Below are 24863 nucleotides of genomic sequence, written 5' to 3'. Positions count from 1 at the left end.
CAACAAGATGTCCATGAAATGAATTTTCCCTTAGAAACCAGGCTCTTTAAGACCAAGGCTGGCATCTAAGACAGCAGCATGTAGGCTAGATGGCTTGCTGAACCCTCAAAGAAAGCCCCCCTCCATTTCACGCTAATGCACCCTTTACAAATAGAGGTCAAATCCATTTAGTTCAAGGTGGTCTCCAATACTTTGCGTGCGTGTGTGTGTGTGTGTGTGTGTGTGTGTGTGTGCTCGTGTAGAGTTGGTATAAACATGGACAGAATGCTAAATGAGGCACCTAAGAATGATTAGTTTGTGGCCTGACAATTTTCCTCTGACACTCAGCAAATTCATCATAACTGCAAGCAATGCTTGCTTTAGCCACCTTGATATCCCATCCAGAAGAATTAATCAAATGTTGCAGCATCGTTGGAAAACAGGTTTTCATATCGGTGTTTAAACAACCTATTGCATGATGGTGCTGATGAAATCACAGAAAGGCTTGGATGCTATCCAATTCTAAACCCCACCGTCAGGGTCTGGACAGTCAGCTAAGCCCCAGCTGGGTAATTTTGCGGTGCTATTCTGGATCTGCAGATCCAGATCCCACTCCTCCTCCTAGCTTGCCTTGGCTTCTGGATACATTTAGTAAGAAGCAAAGCACATAACCATCTCCAGGGACGCGGATGGAAGAAAACCAAGAAGACCAGGTAGCATGGGCCACTTGACACTTGAGCCACCTCCCACTATGAGGAACCAGGTGGGTCGGTTTATCTCACAAGTGGACACGGTGCCTTTCATAATTCCCTCATCCTCAGAACTCACTGGGAGACACACTTTGGGTTCTCCTCTCTGAGAACAAAGATGTGTGGATCTGTGAAGCCTGAGTTTGAATGCCAGGGCCTCCTGGCTCTCAGGAGTGGTGGGGGTTGAGCCTCTCTTGCCAGCTGCTGACTCTCTGCCCTGATGGAATAGGCACCACCATGGGACTGGGCTGAGGTCAGATTTACTTTTTTTGGTGGGCGACACCTACAGGTTTATTGACCCGGAAGCCCTCACCTTAGAACGCATCTCCCAGTGACTGGTTCAAAACAAAATCCCTTTTCAAGACACAGAAGTTCAATGCTAGTAGGTGGCTTGGATTGGTGGGTACATCCCTTAGCTCTTAGGAATCCTAGGGATGGGGGCTGGGGAGAGAACTGCTATCAGAAACCCAAAGTGAACTGAAATGTGCAGTCTTGGCCCAGTTTGGGGCCAGTGCAGACCTGGAATGAGGCTCTCCCTTACGTTCCAGCAGGGAGTCAGGAGGACCAACAGCCCCTGCGACATCGGGCTGCATGGCCACAAAATAAAACAAAACAAATGTGGCCACATCAGTGAAAGAAATCACTGAAGCCAGTCTGGTGTTGGACAGAGAAAAATCACTGAAAATTGACTGAGCCACTTGGAGGTGTTAGTTGACTTCATGTATTTATTTATATCCAGCTTGCTCCTAAAAGGATACAAAGTCACGTAAAGACTATTCATTCATGCACCTAAAATTCACTGGGTGCCTCTCTCATGCCAGCACTTGTGCAAGGGGACAGAGGGATGGGATCCCTATCCTATGGGGCCTGCGTTCTTGCGGGTGAGAAAATGGGTAAATACCACAGTTCCAAATACTGGTAAGTGCTTTAATGACAATATAAAGTAAAACGGGGGTACAGAAAGTAACTTGGGGCTGGAAGTTGGATAGGTAACATCAGATAGAGTGGGCAGGGAAGGCCTTTCCAGAAACTAATGATGGAATCAGAGAAGAGAGCTCTGGCTGTGCTCCCCCGGAAAAGAAAGTCCTTCGCCAGTCACCATGGGCAGGACCCTGCAGGGCTCTGACCCTCACTTCTCGTACTCAGGGTGGGCTTCGGGAACACGAGAGCAGAGCAGTGCTCAGGCCCTCACTCAGAAGAGAGCCCCTCATGCTTGGGGTTTAATGCTCTGTAACTGCTACCTTCATATGTCATAAGAATTTTATCTCTGAACTTGTGTTTTGTGAGGGAACTCTGGTGGGGCAATGGGACATGTGCCGGGGTATGACCCCTCAACTCACACCTGGCCCACCTTCTGCTCCATCCCGCTGGGTTCTTGACTGTCCACTTCCTGCCCCGACCAGCAACTGAGACTCCCCCAACTCCTCAACAGGGAGGATGGGGGCTGGATGGATGCCTTCTACCTGCCCAGTTGAAGGCAGTGAGAGTATCCTAGTGCCTGGGGGAATGTGACATTAAATAGAAGGTCACACACACACACGCACACACACACACACACACCACTATGAAAGATCCAGAGAGAGAACACGAAGAAAGGAAAAAGCTTTTTTTCCTGCCTTTTGAACGAGTGACCCCGGGTTTTAAGTAGCCAGCCCTGTTTGTGCTAAGTGCTGCCCCAGGCTCTGTGAAGAATGCAAAGATACAACTGTCTTCTCCCTACTCCCCCTTCTTCCACGCCTGTTCATCCCCTCATTCACATATCCATCAGCAACGCAGGTTCCTGAGACCCGATGCATGCTGGGTGAACCCTGGGGATCCCAGGACAATGGGCTCCCTCGCCCCCTCCAGGAGCTGAGACCCTGGCCCCCCATCCCCGTCTGTGACAGTCAGGCATGGCTTCCACATCAACTGTTTTCTGTCCCTCTGCGGTGGCCCCACCACGCATTAGCTTCAAGTTATGTGTCACACATCATATAAATTATGGATAAAGTAGAAAATGGGAGTTAGAGAAAACATGCACTCTCTGATAGCGCGAATTGTCAGGCCATTCTCCGAACTTGACTTTTCATTTCTCAAGATTAGTAGTTCATTTCCTTCTAACCACGTCTTAGAAGAAAACCCTTTCCTGGGGATTTAAGAAACTTAGAAGAGGAGCCCCTGGGTTGCTGTGACACCCCTGATGTAGTTCTCTGTCTTTCATAGACCTGAATACGCAATTTCAGTGAGTCTATTTCCTCAACCCTCTGCTCATTTTCAATCAGGACCCTAGATTCTGTGACCGGGGCAACTTCAAACTTTTTCAGATATCCCAGGCACACTGTGATATACACAGCAGACACATTAAAAAAATGCACTACAGCCTCACTGAAATAAAACAATTCTTATTTATTTTTTAGCTTTATGATGAATTTCAGAAAGGGGCTACTTGTTCTGGAGAAAAATGAAGACTCCCACTTACGCGGTTATTACAAATGCCTGGGCACGCACCTGGCTTTCTGACCACATATTTGAGTTTCTGAAGAGGTATTTGGATTTGTTGCATGATACTTAGTTTTCTGAATGGGGACTTGGATTCTAACCAGGTATTTGGGCTCCTGATGCTGTATTTGGATTTTAGACCTGGTACCTAGGTTTCTAGAGCAGGTGTCTGGCTTTCTGATGCAGGTGCATCAGCAAAAGGAGAGGCTCCAGGCCTGCGGTCTGGCCCTGAGGGTAACTCGGGTGTTTCCTGAGTGCCCCGAGGCCCAGGAGCGTTGGTGAGCAGCTGCCCTGAATAGGGGGCCTCTTCACCAGGGAAGCTCGGCTTCAGGAAGCCCCGAGCTGAGGCCCAAGATGCTGGGCTAAGAGCAAATCATTCCCAAAGAAAGAGACCCCCAGCTGCCACCCTTTGTATTTTCAGTGTGCTATGAATTTCGTGCGAGAACTTTTCAGTTTCTTCTGAGGGCCCAACCTGGATGGCGAGAACCCTAGAGCCTTGCAGAGGTGACTCCACTGAGCAGCTAGGGAGACGGATGTCCTTAGAAGAGGGGTGACCTGCTGACCCCCACGTGGTTGCTTAGCACAGACATTCGGTACCTGAGCCTCACAGGCCCCACCTCTGCTCCTTTTCTGGTCATGTTGTTTTCCCCATGACTAACTCCTGAGTGCTCCACCTGCCCCTCCAGCCTCCCTTTCTCACCCCTCTGATCTGCACCCCTCCTGCCACCTCCTTGCTAGCTGTGTTTCCCATCCTCTAGGTTCTTGGGTTCTACTGGGTAAAATCTGATCCTGGGGGCCCCGAGGTGCTGGGCACAGGGAGGAGCTTCAGCTGCTCACCCGGTGGGCTCACTGGTCAGTGCTCAGGACAGGCAGGAGGGACTCACTGTAAAGATAGGGCGGCCTGTGCTTCAGAGTCATCCTGAAGGAGTGGTGTTGAGGGGCCCAGGAGAGGGAACAGTTTGGTAAGGGGTGGGGCCCAAGACAGGAGCTACATAGCTCTGGTGGCCACAAGTACCTCCGGTGCTATTCTAATAAAGATTATGGATCAGAAAGGATTGCCAGATCCCTGCTGGACGGACAGAGGCCAGTCAGAGTCATCAGAGTGGACAGGGGTGAGACCCTGCGAACACTGTAGGGAAACACCTGATATTACCAGGCTTCCCATTAGGAAACCTCCCACGCGACTTCCCAAATGGATTGGATTTGTATTACCCCCAGAAAATGTTTCAAAAAATTGCACAACTTTGGAAAATATTTTTATAGAAAGAAATGTTTTTGAAAGCTGAATGAGACAGGCTCCTTTTCTAGAGAGCATTCCATTCATGATGGCGTCATGCTTGCCGTGTCTTAAGAGCCTAGGTCAGGTTAAACACCCTCTCTTAAGTGATATTAACATGCCTCCTTGTCTCAAACACTGAGAACCACATTACTCAGCTGGTATCAGAAAGAATTTTTTAAAGGAAAATGACTTAATTCTCAGCTCAGCAGGCGGAAAATATACAGCCGTGGGTAGTGAATCACTCATTAAAAATTAAGTCAGTCCGCCCACAACGGGAAACAGCATAACAGAATGTCGGTGTTGGCTTCAGATTGGAAGGAAGCCAAAAACAGGTTTTGAAAATAGTGATGCCTTTGAATTCGATCTTGCTCAAATAGTCTACTTTTGGGATTTCTAACTTCATCCCGGTGACATCCACTTTCCAGTGTGTCTTCTGTTGAGAACTCCCCTAAGAGGGGAACAGAGTGATATCGAGGGTTTCCATGGTTTCTGACGAGATGAAGTGGTTCACCTTCCCAGTGAATCACTTCTTCTAGCAACATAAACCATCACGCGGCCCCCGGAACCATTTGCCAGAATGGCCCTCAGAACAGTGGGAAAAATACCTTTGTTTTATTAACTAACATTTCTGTTTGAGTTTTAAAATCAAAGCCCACGGATTCTCAGCTTTTCCTTCCTGAATAGAAGCAACATTATAAAAAGGAAATGACCATATTTCAAATAAAAATTTTCCATTAATAAAATGCTTTTTAAAAAAATGTTCTTGCTTCTTTTGGAGAGCAGTGAGAGAGCAAAAACAAATGAGCGAGGCAGGAGGAGGAAGCCCCTAGGCCAGTGCTGCTTTCTCATAGGAAGATGACAAAACATTCACCCCAAAACATGCAGACACATCCTGCAAGACAAGGGGATGAGTGCGGCTGGTCCCCGTCATGGCCGACACATGCAGTAGTTACTTTCTGGGGATTTCTGTTGCTAACTCCAAATCCAGACCAGCACCACCCTAGAGCATAGAACTCTAGGTCTTGAAGATGTCTTTAAACAATTCTCACCCAGCCCTTTATGTTTTAGACCAAGAAGGTGTGACTCAGAGTGATGAAGTGACAAGTCTAAGTCACTCCGCTTTCTTTTCTTTTCTTTCTTTTTTTTTTTTTTTTTTTTTTGAGGTGGAGTCATGCTCTGTCACCCAGGCTGGAGTGCAACGGTGCAGTCTCGGCTCACTGCAACCTCCGCCTCCTGGGTTCAAGTGATTCTCCTGCCTCTGCCTCCTGAGTAGCTGAGATTACAGGCACGTGCCACCATGCCTGGCTAATTTTTGTATTTTTAGTGGAGATGAGGTTTTACCATACTGGCCAGGCTGCTCTCAAACTCCTGACCTCAAGTGATCCAACCACCTCAGCCTCCTAAAGTGCTGGGATTACAGAGGCCATTCAACTTTCCAGAACTAAAATCTTTCTAATCAATCATTTTTCTAGGCTCCTGGGCAAAACACACATTTATACTTAGTAGAGAAAGGACTCAAACATTGGCTCTCTAAGCAATATTTCCTGAAATTAGAACTAGAATCAACCACTTCATTTTTCAATATCTTGCACAATTATAAGCTTGCAAGAGATACCTGATAAACCCGATAAACCCTCAGTGAGCGAATGAACAAATTACTGGCTGTGCTGGAAGGAAACATGCCAAGTGTGTGAAAAGAGATTAGAAAGCTGGATTTGGTCAGCAGATAACATGCAGAAATAATTGGGAACTCTGGCCAAGATCAACTCAAGTGATCATAAAACTGTTCCAAAATATAATTATCAACCAGCAAACCGTTTGCAGAATCCACAGGATATGTTCTTATTTGTTAATGTTCTCTGTCACTTGCATAACTGTCAAATAATATTTTTCATAACGGAAAAGTTTTTCTTTTGGCAGGTCTGAACTTCACCTTTGGTGGTGGTAATGAGAGCCGACTGTTTTTTCAGTTGGAGAGGAGCAGCGTTTCAGTCCGAGAGAGCACCGCTGGGGACTGGCACTTCCTTTCCACTGTCCTACAACTCACTTATCCAGCCTGCCTGGGTCTCTGTTTTCCCCTCTTTAAGGGAGAGGTGACAAGGCATGCCTGGACTGCTGCCTCTGCATGTTTAGGGGGCCCACTTGAGATCATGAATTTGAGCATGCTTTGTAAATAAGTGCTCCATATGTATGTGTCTTATCAGAAATGCAATTTTTGTTTAAGCATAAGGCATGTAAGTTATCTGGAAAAACAGGAAATAGAGCAAATCCTGTTTTTCTAAATAATAATTTCACAAACATGAGATTTAAAAAAATTCATTTCTCAGCAGCAACATGCTAACATGATAGCTTTAAATATATAATATGTATATGTAAAATATAATATATATAGCTTTAAGAAGCTATCTATATGTATATGTTATAGCACTTGAACATGAAATCTGCACCATTTCTGATAGCAGATGAATCTTGGTAGAGTTGTTTGAAATCAGTTAAATACTATCAACATATTTTTTAAAAGTTGTTAGAACTGAAACAGCCCTCATCATAAAATAAACACAAATCCAGTTTTCGTTTTTTTGCTTATGCTCATTTCTATTCAAAACAAGGAGAAAAGCTACCCAGAAAATCTATTACATGACATGTTTTTGTTCAGTAGTTCCACAGAGATCCTTCCTTTCTTACCATTTTAAATAATTTTTACCAAACTCTGCAACATAATAAGCAGTTTTAAAAAATGTTATTGTAGATTCGAGAGTATGTGTGCAGGTTTCTTACATGGGTACATTGCACAATGCTGGGCTTTGAGCTTCTATTGAACCTATCACCCCAATAGTGAACATAGTACCCAATAGAGAGTCTTTCAACCCTTGCTCTCCTCCCTCCCTCTTCCCTTTTGGAGTTCCCCGCATCTGTTGTTTCCATCTTTATGTTCATGTGTATGAGCAGCTTTAAAAAGTCACCGCAGGCCAGGTAGGGTGGCTCATGCCTGTAATCCCAGCACTTTGGGAGACCAAGGTGGGCGGATCACCTGAGGTCAGGAGTTCGAGACCAGCCTGGCCAATATGGCAAAACCCATCTCTACTAAAAACACAAAAATTAGCTGGGCATGGTGACAGGTGCCTGTAATCCCAGCTACTCAGGAGGTAGAGGCAGGAGAATCGCTTGAACCCTGGAGGCAAAGTTTGCGAAGAGCCCAGATTGTGCCAACGAACTCCAGCCTGAGTGATAGAGCAAGATTCAGTCTCAAAAAAAAAAAAAAAAAAAGAAAAGAAAAAAAGTCACTGCAAATGGTCATTTTTGAGCAGAATGTGATCTCCTTTCCTGTTGCTCAATCCACAGGGGGCCACCCCCAGGGGATGGTGCTGCAGTTGAGGGTGAGTTCCTGTATCAGGTAGGACTGGTCCACCCACGGCCCTTGCATTTGGCACGAGACCTCATCCTGATGCACCGCCGGGTCTGAGAAATCTCTCTGTAACTCATACACCCAAAAGCATTTATACATTTCTTGTCTTCTTTCTCCCAATATGAATGATGCCACCCCTTAGGCAGTTGGCACTCATCTGCAGCCGACAATATCGCAACATGAACTGCACAGGCAGGAAACCCTTACACACAGAGTGCCGGCCCTGGCCTCAGGAGCCTGAAGACAAGCTCCTTGAAGACCTGCTCATTGGCCTGCAGTCCAGGTCCCTCACACTTGCTCTGTGTGTCACTTAATTAAAATGCCACTTCAAATGAAAAATGAAGAGGGCAGTTTTGATTACAAAGATACAAAATGTCTAATTTACAATGGGTGGGATTTTCCCATGTCATCGAGCCGGCCTATGTCCCCAGCAATTGTTAGGGACTGTTTTTCTAAAAAGGTGAACCTCACCTTGGATTCTTGGCTGTCTGACAACCCACCAGGCCCAAACAGACAATGCCTCCATGCCATCCCCAGTGCACTATCGACTGAGGCGTGGTGGACTGGAAATGGTTTCCTGAAGCATAGATCCCAGATTTCCTGCACAGAGCTGGATAAAGGTAACTAAGAGGCTTGCCAAATTTTCATTTAACGACGCCTTCCTGGTAATATTCTTTAGCCTGATTTTTAGGTACTTTAGAAATTATATTAGAAGCAACCATGACACAAAACCAAAGAGACAAGAAAGACCCCTCTGAGCTCCCCGTTACCTCTTGTCTTCCTGGGAAGACGCTGGGAAACCATCCTGGCCTTGGAGAATCCATGTTTCCCTGACAGCTGAGAAAGGATTTCTAGAAGAATTCCAACTTTGAACTGGGTCTGCTGTGAACACGGTGACGAGACATGAGTTTATATAGGAAATCTGTGTTCCTATTTCCTCTTAGGGGAAACTGTGACTGATTAACGCCCATGCCTTTGCTCTGTGACAAAGGATTACCTACTAGGCTCTTTTAGGAGGCACTTCTTGAAAGAATGTGGAAACTTTCCGGGGGGAGGGAGGACTGGAAATGGAAATAAATGAAGGATTAATCTGTTTGTCATGTCAGATCCAAAGGCATTCTTCCAACTTACTGTCAACTTCTAATTCAGTCACCAGGAGAATAATTTGTCGCTGTGGCTTGGATAGAAACCCGTGGAATCCATTGGTGCTCATAAAAAACCCCAGTATAAGAAGAAGAAGGGAAATAGGAATCACATGTCTTAGAAAGTTTTAATTTTATATGTGCTCTGCCCACCAGGCTTCTCACTTGTTTCTGGGATTCTGAAGGCCGGCCCGGGGCATATAGCTCCTGCCCTGCTGGAAACGTCACCCCAGCGGATGCAGCCAGAAACCAGCTTGGGGTGGTCCCCCTGCCTGTCAGAACCCTGAGCTTTATTTTAAAACGAACAGATTTTTTTTTCCTGTCATGGTAGCCATTCAAATCAACATCAAGAAACACAAATGAGTCAGAAGAGAAAAAATCACACTTCTTAAAAGTGACAGAGGAGGAAACAGAGATTACTAAAGAAGAACAAGCGAGTGAAGGGAAGCCTAAGTACATTTTAAAATTGAAACTCACAGTTGCTGAATATTCACACGTTAATTTTGTTTTCTTTTATTCCTTGGGTATTTCCATGAACCAAAGTGAAATAGTCAAGTTACAGAATCATTTAATTTTACTTACTAGTGGATACCCTTAGGTATAACAATATAAGACCTCAAAGAGTCTGGAGAAAATATTTAAACCTTAACGATACGTCTTTTATAAATTCTTAATTCTGAAATTCCATTGCATTAAATACTATGCGAGAGACCCACAGAGTTGCAAGCTTTCTCCAGTTGAAGGAACTTTGGTCATATTGGATCACTGATACGAACTACAGTGTTATTTTCATAAATCTATTGTTAAAGACAAACAAAAAGGAAAGGAAAACATGGGAATGGGTGACTCCACTCAAGAGACCCTTCCTAATCCAGCTTAACAGGAAAAAAGACTTGACTCATTTTTTTGGATGTCAATTTTTTTTTAATTTTTGAGACAGAGTCTTGCTCTTTCACCCAGGCTGGAGTGCAGTGGTGTGATCTTGGCTCGCTGCAACCTCCGCCTCCAAGGTTTAAGCAATTCTCATGCCTCAGCCTCTCAAGTAGCTGGGATTACAGGCACCCGCCACCACACTCAGCTAATTTTTTTATTTTTAGTAGATACAAGCTTTCACCATGTTGGCCAGGCTGGTCTTGAACTCCTGGCCCCAGGTGATCCTCCCACCTCGGCCTCCCAAAGTGCTGGGATTACAGGTGTGAGCCACCGCACCCGGCCTAGATGTCAAATATTAATATAGTTTTTTTAAGTGAAAAATTGGAATACTGCTAGTAAAGGGAACTCCTTTTGATACCCACTATAGTACCAGCATATATGTTACAATCCACTTAAATGCCTTCCTTAAAAGTTGGAAACAGTTGCCATGATTCTGCGATGATGATCATAATAAGAGTAGCAGTGATAACCACAGCTAGCTTTTATTTATTTTTATTTTTATTTTTTGAGACAGGGTCTCACTCTGTCATGGAGGCTGGAGTGCAGTGGCACAATCCTGGCTCACTGCAACCTCCACCTCCCAGACTCAAGCGATTCTCCTGCCTCAGCCTCCCAAGTAGCTGGGATTACAGGTGTGTGCCACTACCACCCGGCTAATTTTTGTATTTTTAGTAGAGACGGGGTTTCACCATGTTGGCCAGGCTGGTCTTGAACTCCTGATCTCAAATGATCCACCTGCCTTGGCCTCCCAAAGTTCTGGGATTACAGGCATGAGCCACCACGCCCAGCCCATAGCTAGCTTTTATTAAATGCTTACTTTGGGCCATCTCACTTAAATGTCACATCACATCCTAGGAAGTGATGGATAGATGAGAGAAAAGAAGGCTTGCACAGGCTGATGTGTTCATCCAGCACGTGTGACTAGGTTCCTCTGCAGTCAGCTGCCCAGTGTGGGCGGTGGCTGTGGCACCATCTCCAGCCTTAGTGGGCTTAGCCGCCCTGCCCAAGGTGGACTATCTTTTTAGTTCTAACTGACTCAAAAGCACGTCTCTGAATCCCACAAGTGAGCAATAAGTTCCCTTCCATTAATAGATATCCTGAAGCTCTGTACACGTCTCAAATGCTTAGCAGTGAAAATGCAACAGGCTAATAGATCAGTCTGGTATTCTACCTTGGCAGCTGTGATAGTCCATTTTCATGATGCTGATAAAGACATACCCAAGACTGGGCAATTTACAAAAGAAAGAGGCCTATCGGACTCACAGTTCCACATGGCTGGGGAGGCCTCACAATCATGGCTGAAGGTGAAAGGCACGTCTCACATGGCACAGACAAGAGAAGAGAATGAGGAAGAAGTTAAGTGGAAACCCCTTAAAAAACCATCAGATCTCGTGAGACTTATTCACTACCACGAGAACAGTATGGGGGAACCGCCCCCATGATTCAATTATCTCCCACAACACGTGGGAATTAGGGGAGTACAATTCAAGATGAGATTTGGGTGGGGACACAGAGCCAAACCATATCAGTGGCCCAGTGGGCAGGTCCCAAACAAAGGCAGCAGACAAGGCAGCACAGATAGGAGACCCAGGCTTCAAATACCCTTTCCTCGTGTCAAGAGAAAGATTTCTGGAATCAGAAGTACCCTTAATCTAGGAACTCAGGATCTTCCTGAAGCAGAGCTTTACTTTCCCACTGAAATGGAGGCAGGGCCAGGCGCGGTGGCTCATGCTTGTAATCCCAGCGCTGTGGGAGGCTGAGGTGGGCAGATCACCTGAGGTCGGGAGTTCGAGACCAGCCTGACCAATATGCAGAAACCCCGTCTCTACTAAAAATACAAAATTAGCCAGACATGGTGGTGCTTGTCTGTAATCCCAGCTACTCGGGAGGCTGAGGCAGGAGAATCGCTTGAACCCGGGAGGCAGAGGTTGCAGTGAGCCGAGATCACGCCATCACACGTCAGCCTGGGTAACAAGAGGAAAACTCTGTCTCAAAAAAAAAAAAAAAAAAAAGAAAGAAAGAAATGGAGGCAAAGGAAGGGTGGGGCCAGGAAAAGGGAGGTGCCCCCTGAAGCGGCTCTGGCCGCCAACTACCCGTGGTGGATGCAGGGAGGACAGGAAGTCAGCTCCTGCACACACGTTCAGTGACCTTCGGGTGGGGCACCTACTTCTGAATCTCTTGCCGGTTTTGAGACAAGGCCGGGAGGTGGAGGAGCCCCGGAAGCACCTGTCACAGGATCACTCAGCTGCGGGAGCTGCTGACTCACTGATGGGGAGCAGGTCAACTTGCTGGGAGGAATAGGAAATTTTGGAAGCGGCAGAAGGCAAAATGGGGTGCGGAGGGGCCAGTACTGAGTGGAGAGACAAGGGGTGCAAAGGTCACACACTTGTAACAAATCATAATCTGAGCCCTGTATTTCAAAAGGAGCTATATCTGTGGGATCTGACACTCAAATATTTCATTCTAGCACGGTAGGCACATTTGCATTCGATAAAGCACGCAGCTGCATTGCTTTTGAAGAAAGCCACATTTAATAAGCGTTCAAACCAGTATCGACCAGCCAACACCCCTTGTATAGGATTCTGAGGCTATCAGGGATTGTAGATTTCATATAGTTAATCCTCCATCCCATAATATGATTCCAGTAACGATCCTTCTCTTTGATCCCACCGCTGACATTTACCCAAGAAGAGTTCCCCATTCAGAATCAACAACGTCTTATAATGATGCAATGGAGAACATAGACAACAAAATTAACTTGGTAGGTGGCAAACGAAGGCATCCCTCTTCTCTAGCTTAATCAATCATTACTTTTATTTAACATTCCTTATCAAGAAAGAAAGAAACAATCCACACAGTCAAAATGCATTTCATCACACCAAGAACGACCATAAGCATTTATGCCCAGATGGAACAGTGCCACAAAGGGCACCCTGCCTAAAAAAGAGGGCCAGCCAGGGAACAATAATTGATCCATTGACCTGAAAATGATTTCAGAACGGAGTCAGTGCCTTTCAAACAAGGCAATACATTTAGGAAATACAGCTTCCTGGTGACCGGTATCATGGTGCCCGCTAAAAGCAAGCACACCCAGAAGTCCACGTGCCACTCACCTGCACGCTGCAGACACTGCGAAAGCTCTTAGATTTTCTTCCTTCGATTTGTTTAGGAAATTTAACAGCATTAAATTGATTAAGTAGACTGCAAAAGGGCTCTGTTGTTTAAAGTTTTCTTTTTCTAAGGACATCAAGGTCATGGAATTTTGCCATTGCCTGGACCCAAAAGGCATAAAATTATGCGACACCACTGACACTGCTTTTACTGAGCATGCAATCCGGAGAAGCTCCTTTTCAGCAGTTTTCTCTAGAGCAGATCAATTTAAGAAGCAGTTACCATCAATGCAATTATGTGCCCCTGCGCTCCTGAACGCTGGTCAGATGTGTGCCATTGAGATAAGGCTAGGCCCTTTTAAAAGCAACGACACGTCAGTGAAAGGAAAGCATGTAGAAATTGTGTCCTCAACAATACATTTCAGGAGACCAAGCAGCTGAGCCAAATTTCACACACACACACACACACACACACACACACACACACACACGCAAATGATGTAACAAAAAGGTGTGATATGAGCCTGCTCAAGCAAGGTAAGGCATAAAATTCAAATATAACACACTGACCATATGGCTTTCTTTCTCAAGAAAACAATGCTCTTCTAATAATTAAATCCCACATATTATTTTAAACTAGTTATCTGTACATCAAAAATAATTTTTAAAAAGTTTTGTACTCACCGAGGGAAAGTGAAGGCTATAGTCTGAAGAAGAAAGAAGAAAAAAAAAGTCAGTTTTCTGGTTAACAGGAGTTGGCTGCTAATTCTAGCCATTTCCTTCTGTACAGCACTAGTCGACTATCCCATTTTTGCTTAATTGTTCAGGGTCTTCTGGAGACCTCTTTATCTAGATGATACTTCTTTTGGCTGCAATCATCAGCTTTTAACCATGTCCTACCCCACACTTTAATACAACCTCTAATGATCAGTTGATGGTGGGGTGTGGCCACTGACCTAGCCCCCAAGATGCTCCATCAGTCAGCTGCCTCTGCTGTGGCCTATAGGGTTCCCTCCCCTTCAAGTAGTTCCTTTAGCCCATCCTCCCCCCAGAAGAGCCTTTTACAACCTGGTCTGGGGCAGCTCACTTTCTCCAGCTTTCTAGCTTAATCTTTATCTAGCCTGATCAATTCCATTAATTAATTAATTTTTTTTTTTTTTGAGACGGAGTGAGTCTTGCTCTGTCGCCCAGGCTGGAGTGCAATGGAGTGATCTCAGCTCACTGCAAACTTCGCCTCCCAGTTCAAGCGATTCTCCTGCCTCAGCCTCCTGAGTAGCCAGGACTACAGGTATGTGCCACCACGCCCTGCTAATTTTTATATTTTTAGTAGAGACAGGGTTTCACCATGTTGGCCAGGCTAGTCTCGAACTCCTGGCCTCAAGTGATCTGCTCGCCTCGGGCTCACAAAGTGCTGGGATTACAGGCATGAGCCTCCATGCCCAGCCTCCCATTAAATTAGCTCTCATGTTATTTTATTTTTTAAAAAAAAACAGTTTTATTGAGACATAATTTTCATACGATAAAGTTCACTTGTTTAAAGTGTGCAGTTCAATGGTTTTTAGTATATTCACCCAGCTTGAAACCATCAATGTAATCTAATATTAGAACATTTTCATCATTCAAAAAGAAACCCCACACCCACTATTAGCTCACTAGCTCCCAAGCTCCATCCTGTCCCCAGCCCCTGGCAACACCAATCTACTTTCTGTCTTTATGGATTGGCCTATTCTGAGTATTTCATATAAATGGACTCACACTATACGTGGCCTTCTGTGACTGGGTTCTTTCACTTATAATAGTATTATTTTTTGAGATTTATCCCTATTGTAGCATGTACCAGTACTTCATTCCTTTTAATGGCTGAATAATATTCCATTGCATGGATATACCACATTTTGTTGACCCATTCTTCAGTGGATGAATTTAGCTCGCTTGTTTTGTTCTGAGTGGTCAGCATGGCAGCCTCACACTGGGATTATTGATTAGGCTGCTATCTACCTGTGAATGAGACCTTGCTCAGTCGTCACTGCACGTCTGCACTGGTGAAGGGTGGAAGCATGTTTTGATTGTTACTATTTTTAAATAGTGAATGCAGTACATGATGTTTTCCACTAAAATAGACTACTTGCTATCTTAGTCCTGACAAAACTAGATATTTTAAATCATATCAAATAAAGACTCTACAGCACACAATTAAAAGTTGTTATAAATTGTTATATTTTTAAAAAATTGTTTAAATGTATATTGTTATACATTTAAAAGCTGACCCATGAGGTGTGTTTGAAGCCCAAGAAGCAGAAAAAATACTTCTGGTAACTAAGGAATTTTAAGTCTATTTGGGCAAATCTACAGCTCAAATTATTCTTAATGGTGAAAGACTTAATACCTCTCCCCAGCACTGGGAACAAAGCAAGGATTTGTCCCACTCCTATTTAACATTATCCTGGAAATCATAGCCAATGCAATAAGTTAGGAAAAAGAATTAAAAGACATAAGCATTGAAAAGAAAAAAATAAAACTTTATTCTCAAATGACATAATAGTCTATGTAGAAAATCCCAAAGGATTCAAAAATAGCCACTAGAGGCAATATATGAGTTAAGGTCACAAGGTATAAAGTTACTAATACAAAAAAAAAAAAAAGGATTTGTATATGGAAACAACAATTATAAATAAAATTTAAAAGATAGTCTATATAATGCCAAAGCACCTACTGGGGCAGCTATATAAAACAACCGGGGAAAATCTGTTGAGTAACATATTAAAGCACAGAGGGTTTCCAGGGTGCAGTGGAACCCAGTATTACATAGAGCATGATGGCAGGGGACTGAGAGGGCATTGGTTTTTGGGCAAGAAATGATTACTTGAGGATCACTGCAGATAGGGGAACTGCTTTTTTGTAGGAATAACTTATTACAAGAGTCCATCCTTTCCACTCCCCAAAATGAACCAGAAAAGATGCTAAAAAGAGTGACTCGTGATGTTTGACTGGGGCCAAGCAAGGGAAGAAGCCAGGAATGGAAGTTATACCTCCAATATCTCAAGAGGATTGATAGAAATGATCAATCTTCCAATGCAATGCTGATTTATTTTAATGTAAAATAAAACCCAATGCCATGCAGAAGTTTCTGGAGCAGGGCTGCAGACAGTGGCAGCAGGCTTGAGTCAAACCAGACTAAAACCACATGGGAAAAGACCAATTTTGGTAGAACCTGTTGGCACTTTGCCAATGGTTGCACGATTGACAACCCCAATCAAACACAAATCATAACTTGAAATTAAACTTGCAGCTGATTTTTAAAAAATAAGGCAAGAATACACTGAACTCTTGCCTTATTGTGCAGCGGTGCAATCATGGCTCACTGCAGCCTCAACCTCCTGGGCTCAAGCAGTCCTCTTGCCTCAGCCTCCCAAGTAGCTGGGACTACAGGTGTGCACTACCACATTCCGCTAATTTTTGTACTACAAATAGATCAGGTATTTTATTGGTTTGTGGCTCACACATGATAGTAGGAAACCACAACTATCAGTTTCTTAAAGAATTAGAGCAAAAACCAATCATAATGTTCTCTAAAGTAAACCTTTACCAAGTGAAGACTTCCATTAGGCCAACACTGCGACGCTGATGGCTACTGTAATATTGAGCAACAAGTTGGAAACTGTGAAAGAGGCACATTTAAAAGCTGGGGGTTGGGGAGGTTGGTTTGAGCAGACAGATCCGTGAAGTGGGGTCAGTGAGAAGCTGACACAACATCCTTCCACTCATGGGAAAGCTTCCTGTTGTTCTCTTGAACGTTGTTGTCCTCCAGCAAGGGGAAGGAGAGATGAGCTTAGATTTCTCGGGCTGTGGAGTGCCCTGGGCACTGCTTATGGCATCTCTCCCACATCTAACAACTATCCTAGTAGGTAAGGCAAGACCCACTTTATTATTTTTAAATTTTTATTTGTTTATTTATTTTTTGAGATGGAGTCTCGCTCTGTAACCCAGGCTGGAGTGCAGTAGCGGGATCTTGGCTCACTGCAGCCCCTGCCTCCTGGGTTCAAGTGATTCTCCTGCCTCAGCCTCCTGAGTAGCTGGGATTACAGGCACACACCACCACACCTGGCTAATTTTTGTATATTTAGTAAAGATGGAGTTTCACCATGTTGGCCAGGCTGGTCTTCAACTCCTGACCTCAAGTGATCCACCCTCCTCGGCCTCCCAAAGAGCTGGGATTACAGGCATGAGTTACCAAGCCCGGCCGGTGAGACCCACTTTAAAGATGAGGACACTGAGGCTTGGTGAGGCTCTGGACCAGCATCACAGAGCGAGGAGACAGGGCAGCGGCAATGCCGGCCCGGGGCTGCTGAACCCACTCCTGGCTAGGCCTCCCGGAGGAAGCCATCCTACATTGCAATGTATGTTTGTCTGCTTGTTTTATTTTATTTTTTTTCTTAAACTGAGAGAGGGTCCCACTCTATAGTCCAGGCTGAAGTTCAGTGGCACGATCATATCTCACTGTAGGCTTGATGTCCTGGGCTCAAGCCGTCTTTCTGCCTCAGCCACCCCCCGAGTAGCTGGGACTACAGGTGTGCGCCACCATGTCCCACTAATTTTGTATTTTTTGTAGAGACAGGGTCTCCTGATGTTGCCCAGACTGGTCTCGAACTCCTGGGGTCAAGCGACCCAGCCACCTTGGCCTCCCAAAGTGCTGGCATTACAGGCGTGAGCCACTATACCCAGGCTTGTCTGCTTGTTTTTTTTTGTTTTTGTTTTGTTTTGCTTCTTTTGTCTATATCTCCTTCCTCCCAGTGAAGCTGTAATTCCTTTAGTGTAGGAATGGTGTAGGAAAGGCATTCTGCAGATGGCAATAATGATACTGGATTATTCCTTAAAATATTTTCCTGTCCTAGAGGATGCTCCATTATGTTCTCTCCTCCAGAAAGGAAAGCCCCGGGATGGCCATATATTTACTGTGGGAGAAGTGGGTCTTTGGAAGTAGCCTGGCCCACAGAGGCCTGGACCAGCCTGGCCACAGAGTTGGAGCTTTGGCTGGAGCTTTGGCTGGTGAGTCCCTGGAGCTCACAGCTGCAGCCACTCTGCTTCCAGGGAACAGAAGCAGGGAGGGAGCCCGACAAGGCCCTGGGAAAAAGCCATGGTGACAACATCGGAACAGGGGAAATCCACCCTTAGGAAGGGGGGCAGGGGCAGGCAAGGTCAGGCCAGTGAGGGCGCCCACAGGAAGTGGCCAGGCTGCTGGGTTGGGTCCTGATTACTCACAAGATATGGAAAGACGGAGCGACGTTATTGTGCATCCTAACCTTGCAAAGAAGAAAATAAAACTACAGCATTTAGAATCAGTCCCTCGGAACTATTCCATTTAAGGGAAACATTCAAATTACTTCTGAGATGAACAGAACTGGCCAATCTTTCCAAACTCGGACAAAAGGAAAATGCCTTTTACACACAACCTTGGCTTAAGGCGCCACAAGCATTCGAGTGGGCAGAATGTAGGTTGCTGAGTGGCTTGTGTAGCATGCGTATCTCCAAGCTAGTCTTTTAAACGAGTAGCAACCTTGAAGAATTTTTTGGAAGTGCATTTACATTTTATTTTAACATGTTTACATACATGTTTCTATGAGTATATCTAAAATGTGAACTTTTCATGATGTATTAAAATTTTATAAAGAAAGGATATGGAATAAAACTCCACTTCATGCAGTTAAATGCCAGAGATACTGACCTTGAAGCAGTCTTACTGTGAATGACCAGCTCCCGGAGCCAAGTTCCTCAATCCTGGCTGCCTTCTCTTGGACTCCAGTTTTTCCCAAAAGACACTGAGCTGTCCTGATCAATTAGGGCACTGGGGTAGCAAGAACTGTCATTCACCCTCAATCACAGTAACGCTTAAGCACCATGACTATGACCATTACTTTAGATGGACTGGTCAAAGAGCAGGATCATTACTCCAAATAAAAAAATAACAGAGACCTCATCACTTTAATTAAGTGTAGTGGGGAATGGACAGAACCGCAGCCACGGCCCCTGCGGCTGTCTCTGCATTCTATCGGACAACTTCATTCTGCTTCCAGTGGGTAATTCAAATGATGGAAGAAAGCAAAACGTTTCTGAATCATCTAGGCTTCAGATTCGCACTGATATCATACTCACAGCTTCCTTGTTTACCTTCCAGGCAACAGTAAAGCTGTTAATGTCTATATTTTCTAATGCATGAAAGACAGGACAGAAGGAGCTACTGAACTTGGGGGAGGGAGCCCTCCCTGACATGAAGGAGTTTAGTAGAATCTTATCCTGCCTTCCCCACAGCGTTAAACCACCTTGAAAAGGAGATGAAATCTTTAAAACAATGTTGCTAAGCCTGGGGGAAGAAAAAGACCCATTTTTCTCAACCATCCTTTTTGCCAGTCTATGACAGACGAGCAGGACTTCTAAATATTTGGCAACTTTTAGAAATTATTCATGGGCAGCTGCTCAGCACAGATCCACGTGCATCCCTGCCTGCCTCTCAAACTCCCTCCTCCCCCGACCAAGGCACACACTCTCTAATTACTCCACGGTTGAGGCACCCTCTTTGGATTAGGAAACATGCAAATTAGAAAGCCAGACAAATCCTCCTTTGCAAGTACGAGTGTCTGCTGGTTTCCATACTGCCTCGTCTGTCTATGCCATTATTATCAGTATCAAATTTGGAAACATGGCAATTTGATTCCAGGCTCCCTTCCGAGGTGTAGGGGTGCCCTCCAAGCCCCAGAGGGGAGAGCTATGAATTTGTTCACCTCTTGGCGCTGGGCATGGACACTTCTCAGATACTGACAGTCACTGTCATGTTTTTTAAAAAAATCTTTGCCCTATGAGTAGCTTCTTGGCAGGGGATCTAGTGTTTGAGGACAGGGATGGACGGTGTTAACTGCCACCAAGAGAAGACCCTTGCAGAAGAAACAGCCACTGTAAGGACAGGAACTTCATGCCAGACTCCCCGCCAAGCACCCAACAGGGATCACTGCATCCTCTCAATACTCATATGAGGAGTTTGTTATTAGACCCACTTTGCAGAGGGGGAACTGAGGCTCAGAGATATAGGGTAGCTTGCCACAAGGACTCCCCACACTGGGTAGTGCAGTGGGACTTCAGAGCAGCAGTCCTCGAAAACAAGGCCTGTTTTACTCCCCTCTACCTGCCTCGCTCCTCCAATTGGGCTCGGACTCTGAAATGTATTCAGGACAAGCTTGCTGGGTGCCTGACGCTAATGGTAACTGAACACGCTAAAGATGTTTTTCTTGAGCTAATTCCTGTTCAGTGAGCCCCAGAGAAAATGATTGATCTCTAATACTCAGATATGTTAAATCAGTGTTTTCAGGTTTTCTTTTTCAGCGTGCCAATTGGAAACACACCTGCCTTTCACCAGGTGACCCTAGGTCTGCGATGAGGCTAAGCATGTGTGTGAAGGGCCTGGTTGGTGATGATCTTGACACTCGGCTGTCCACGGTAACCTGTGGCCAGAGGCCAGGGCAAAGCAATATTCACTAAGGCAGAATGGATGAGCTCTGGCATTAAATAATTATTCAGAAAGATCATTTTATTATGAAATAATAATAATTATTATTCACGAATAAGGGAAATAGCATGTTTGCTGATGAGATTGGCACGGATAAGAAGAGTAGCGTGTGTTGGTAAACAGCCCTCTGGATTGCTTAACAGGTTTGGAAGCTCACAGGAAGAGCATCAAGTCGGGCAGACACCACGGTGATCCACCTTCTAGAGGCCGCTCACTCACACAACCGTGTCTCACGGGGCTCCAACACAGCACAGTCCCCCTGCTTCCCTCATGCTGCTCCCTGTCCCACAAAGCCTCAGTCTCACCCAAACCCACTAGACGCCAGGTGATCCAGTAGGTCAAGTCCTACTCTCTCCTTGACATCTTTTCTGAGCCCTCTGGGCTGCCCTGGTTGTATCCCTCCTGGTGCCTAGCTGTTCCCCGCCCGCCCCTTCCATCTTTATGTGTCTTCACGTCTCTACAACAACACAGTACAGTAGGACTCTGGATTAACATTAAGGATATTTGCTGCCATTTCAGCTGCCCTATGAGGTGGGGAGGTATGATCCACATTTTACAGATGACGAAGGCAGGTGCAGACCCTCCCCAAAGACAGAGCATCTGTGGCTAATTTGGTGATTTCTGAATAGAAAACCTGCTATCTCTAGCTTGAACATCTTCAGTATATGAAAAGTTCTGTGCATGTACCAGAAACTCATAAAATACTAGTTGAATGAGTACATCAATATGCTAAACCAGCCATTTAACATTAGTGAGCATCTACTATGTGCTATTTCTGTGCCAATTGCTTAGGATTTAGAGATTAAAAAAAATACATGGACAGAACCTCAGCCTCCTTACCCTAAAAGAAGTCCAGAGGACAGGCTTATAAACAGATCGTTGAAATGCAGGGGTGAGCAGTGCTAGGTCGTGGCAAGCCCAGGGGCCATGAAAGATGGAAGCAGAACACTAACCTGTGTTTGGCTAAAGTTAGGTCATCTTTCTCAAGAAGAAAATTCCCAGGAAGAACACATAAACAAAAACCGGGAAGCCAGAGAGTGTATGGAACATTCTGGAAATGGCAAATAAGTTGGATCCTGGCTTTGACCTTGGAACAAGTCACAACAGTTTTAAGCCTAAGTTTCTTCATCTGCGAAATAGAGATAATAAAATTTCCTGCTGGGTTAGTAAAGGAGGTAAGGACCGGACGCAGAACTCAGTATAAGGCCTGGACCCAATAAATCACTGCTGTGAGCCTGGGATGTGTGGTGGGCAGATCCCGGAATGCTGCAGAGACCTTTGGCTTTGGGCTGAAGCCACAAGGGGGCTGCAGAAGTCTGCAAGCCTGGGCATTCCCATTCTGCTCTCTGCAAAGTAGGTCACTGTGATGGCTGCAGAGAAGAATAAGGGGCAGGACCATGCTAAGTGTGGACTGTGGATTCCTGACTAATGAGGCCACACCTGTGGTCCAGATGCAGGATGAACAGGTGTTCTCAAGGGCAGTGGTGGGCGGCCGGGGAGGGGGCAGCCATTTAACAATAGAGGAAGCAGAGCTCACAAGCTTTGGAGGCATGTGAGAAGTGGGGAAAAGGGAAGGAAGCTAAGCGTGACCGTGGGCTTGGCTTGGGGGCCTGGGTGAAGCGTTGCCATCGACAGAGGTGGCGTTCAGGCGCAGAGCTATCAGAAAATGATGCATCCTTCACAGGCATGCAGAGGATATTAGCGAGAGACTAAGAAAATATATTAGCCTGAGAAAAGGGGAGACCCATCCTGAAAACAGATCAATTTTTTTTTTTCAGGAATATGGTACTCAGAGCAGAGACGTTTGTTAGATATTCCTCAGGAAGATTCTGAAAATTAGGAAAGCTGATGAATGAAAAATCTGCCAATCGACTAGCCACTTTGCTGAAACATTTGTAAATATTATTGTTTTAATGATCCTCCACCCCACAACAACTGGCTGATCTGAACCATTTAAACTAGTTCATAAATAAGAATCCCTATAAAATGCACAAAAAAGAGGCTAGCTTGAAAACAAATGAGAGATAACAGAGAAGATTCTAGGTATCTGTTATATTGTCTTGAAGAGGAAAAGCTACATGTCTCTATTTAAAATAGAGCTCATAATAAAAGGTAAGCTGTCAGGGAATTCACAAATCACTGTGCTCCTAACAGAAATGTGTCTAGGCTTGATACGCATTGCTGAGGACAAGCACCTATTTTTTCCCCACCACTGAAAAAGTTCTGTGAACCAGTAATGAATCCCTCCTCCACATAAAAGAACACTGCAGTATTCATTTAGAAACAAAAACAGCATTATAGCAAAAATATGCAGTGCTCCATTCTGGAACAATATACTGCAACAAAAGTGTAATGTTTGACAGGCATTCTGTTTTGTCTACCTAGAAAGGTCAGCTCTCCTCTTCCACTGCTAAGCAGTGCATCCATCATTCTCAAGGAGATTTATTTTCTTTCTTTACAACTCAAGGAATCATCCCAAAGTGTATGTGCTCGAGCCGCTGCACCACACAGCTGGACAGTCCCAGGCCTCTGTGTGATGTGGAGACATTAAAGGCCGGTGGTAGAGGGGGCTGATGTGTGTCTGCTCATACCTGCAGAACCCTAGGCCTCCCACCTGCCACCTGCATGGCTACTGGTCTCTCCTGTAATCCACAGTCCAAGGGAGGGAGAAGCAGCAGCGTGTGCTCTCCAGCCAGATCCCTGCCCACTGGGTGACCTTGGTCAGCCCCTCCACCTCTCTGTGCTTCAATGGCCACTACACATGAGGTCACCGATACTTGCTGATGATCCACGGCATCATGGTAATGATCCAGTGAGAGAATGTTGGGTGGACGAGCTTGGAAATAGAGGAGGGTAAAGCCCAGGTAAGGACAGAAAGGCTGCTCTTCGCACCGTGGGGTTGGCCGTGGGTGGGGCCACATGTAGCACTGCCTTGCTACCTAATAATCACATTTATGAGGACAAATGGTCCTTGAGGCACGTGCTAGACACTGTACATACAGGATCCTGTCTGATCCTCACGGCCACCCTGAAGTAACATGCGTGAAGTCACGTGGTCAATAAGAGGTTGAGCCAGAAATCAAATCCAGCCAGATCTGACTCCAAATCCCATGTTCTATGCCACTGGGCAATAATGTCCTCAACATTAGGAAAACCCTGGGCCCTTGGTGCCTGGGCCTGGAATTGCTTCCTGGGAGATAAGTTGTGTGTGGAGGAGCAGTCCCCAGGCAGCGGTCAGGGGAAGTGGTCACTGCCCAGCCAACCACAGACAGGATACTGACAAGGATTCCTCCTCCCCCATGTTACCCTCATGGTCAGGCAGCATCATGGCTTCGAAGTGCACAGTTCATCTGATGTGCCCCTGCCTAGGATGCTGAAATACCATCTTCCCACCCGGCTCCAAACTCATCTAAGAGTCACGAGCAAATTGAAGAAAAGTTTCTGCTGGGCTTCTATAAACTAGGCTGGGTCTCTGAAAAGGTAAAAGCTCCGGAAGTTGAATTTAGGAAAACGGCATGAAGTTCAATGCTGCACCTGAATCTGCCAGGAGGTCTGAGGTCTGAAAGTGCTAAGGGAAAGCTCTCCTGGTGCCCATGGCCATCCCAGCAGGAACATCTGACCGGCCTGAGGGAGCCACCCACATGGCTGGCCGGGATCTGTAGCCAATGGAGAGTTAAGAGTCTTCTTCTAGAGCTGCCAAGATTCTAATAAACCTCCTTCCGTTTAAACTAAACTGCAAATCGCGCACGCTGGAGGCTTTCCCCAGGAACTGCCTTGTGAGGGGCAAGCACTCGCTGCAGGCCGGGATGGGCACACATCTGACCTTCCTTACTCCAGTGCTCATTCTCTAAAGGAAGTGGAATGCGCTAGTACCTGCGAGGACAGCAAGGCCAGGGCACCATGCATGGGGCTCTCGCACCTCAGGGCGGCACCGAGTGAAAACACTGGGCAGGCTTCATCTCACCGACTCCTCCACATAGTGTGGAGAGCTAAGAAGGGCCCTCCCTGCCTTCCAGAGGAGGAAACAGAGGCATCGAGAACATGGAGACGCCCTCCAGGGGGGTGCCAATCCCCACCCTACTCCAGGTCTCTTACGTAAGACCCATGCTCCCAACAGCTCCCTGATACTTCGTCTTGGGCTGGGCTCCCTATGCCCACTGGGGTCCTTTTTGGGATGTGAATGTTTGAAGTGAACCATTTGTTCCAATGCGCCAGCCCCAGCGTGAGTGTCA

At 45.6% G+C, this 24863-nt stretch overlaps 1 protein-coding gene across 15 annotated transcripts in view, besides 1 other annotated feature; it reads right to left on the bottom strand.

The window, feature by feature from the left end:
• Window positions 1-24863, bottom strand: part of PTPRE (protein tyrosine phosphatase receptor type E) — a 178753-nt gene that overhangs the window by 89799 nt on the left and 64091 nt on the right. For 4 of the 15 annotated variants that reach the window (NM_001316676.2, NM_006504.6, XM_047425578.1 and 1 more), the window contains one exon: window positions 13761-13783. The exons of 8 other annotated variants lie outside the window; for them this stretch is intronic. In NM_001316676.2, coding sequence (NP_001303605.1) covers window positions 13761-13783 — 23 coding nt within the window. Of the gene's footprint in view, window positions 1-8661; window positions 8778-13760; window positions 18176-24863 lie in introns of those variants that run through there. 3 more of the 15 variants (XM_005252691.3, NM_001316677.2, XM_047425576.1) reach the window with 2 other exon arrangements.
• Window positions 18187-18687: an enhancer, noted in NCBI's record as "H3K4me1 hESC enhancer chr10:129775634-129776134 (GRCh37/hg19 assembly coordinates)". NCBI's record gives its function as "activates a minimal SCP1, AML or CMV promoter by ChIP-STARR-seq in naive H9 embryonic stem cells {active_cell/tissue: H9 hESC(naive)}" and the evidence as "EXISTENCE:reporter gene assay evidence [ECO:0000049][PMID:30033119]".

The sequence above is a fragment of the Homo sapiens genome, chromosome 10 (assembly GCF_000001405.40).
Source record: "Homo sapiens chromosome 10, GRCh38.p14 Primary Assembly".
In the NCBI taxonomy this organism is placed as follows: Eukaryota; Metazoa; Chordata; class Mammalia; order Primates; family Hominidae; genus Homo; species Homo sapiens.
Note: the sequence above shows the minus strand (reverse complement) of the source record. Positions and strands in the feature narration are given on the sequence as shown.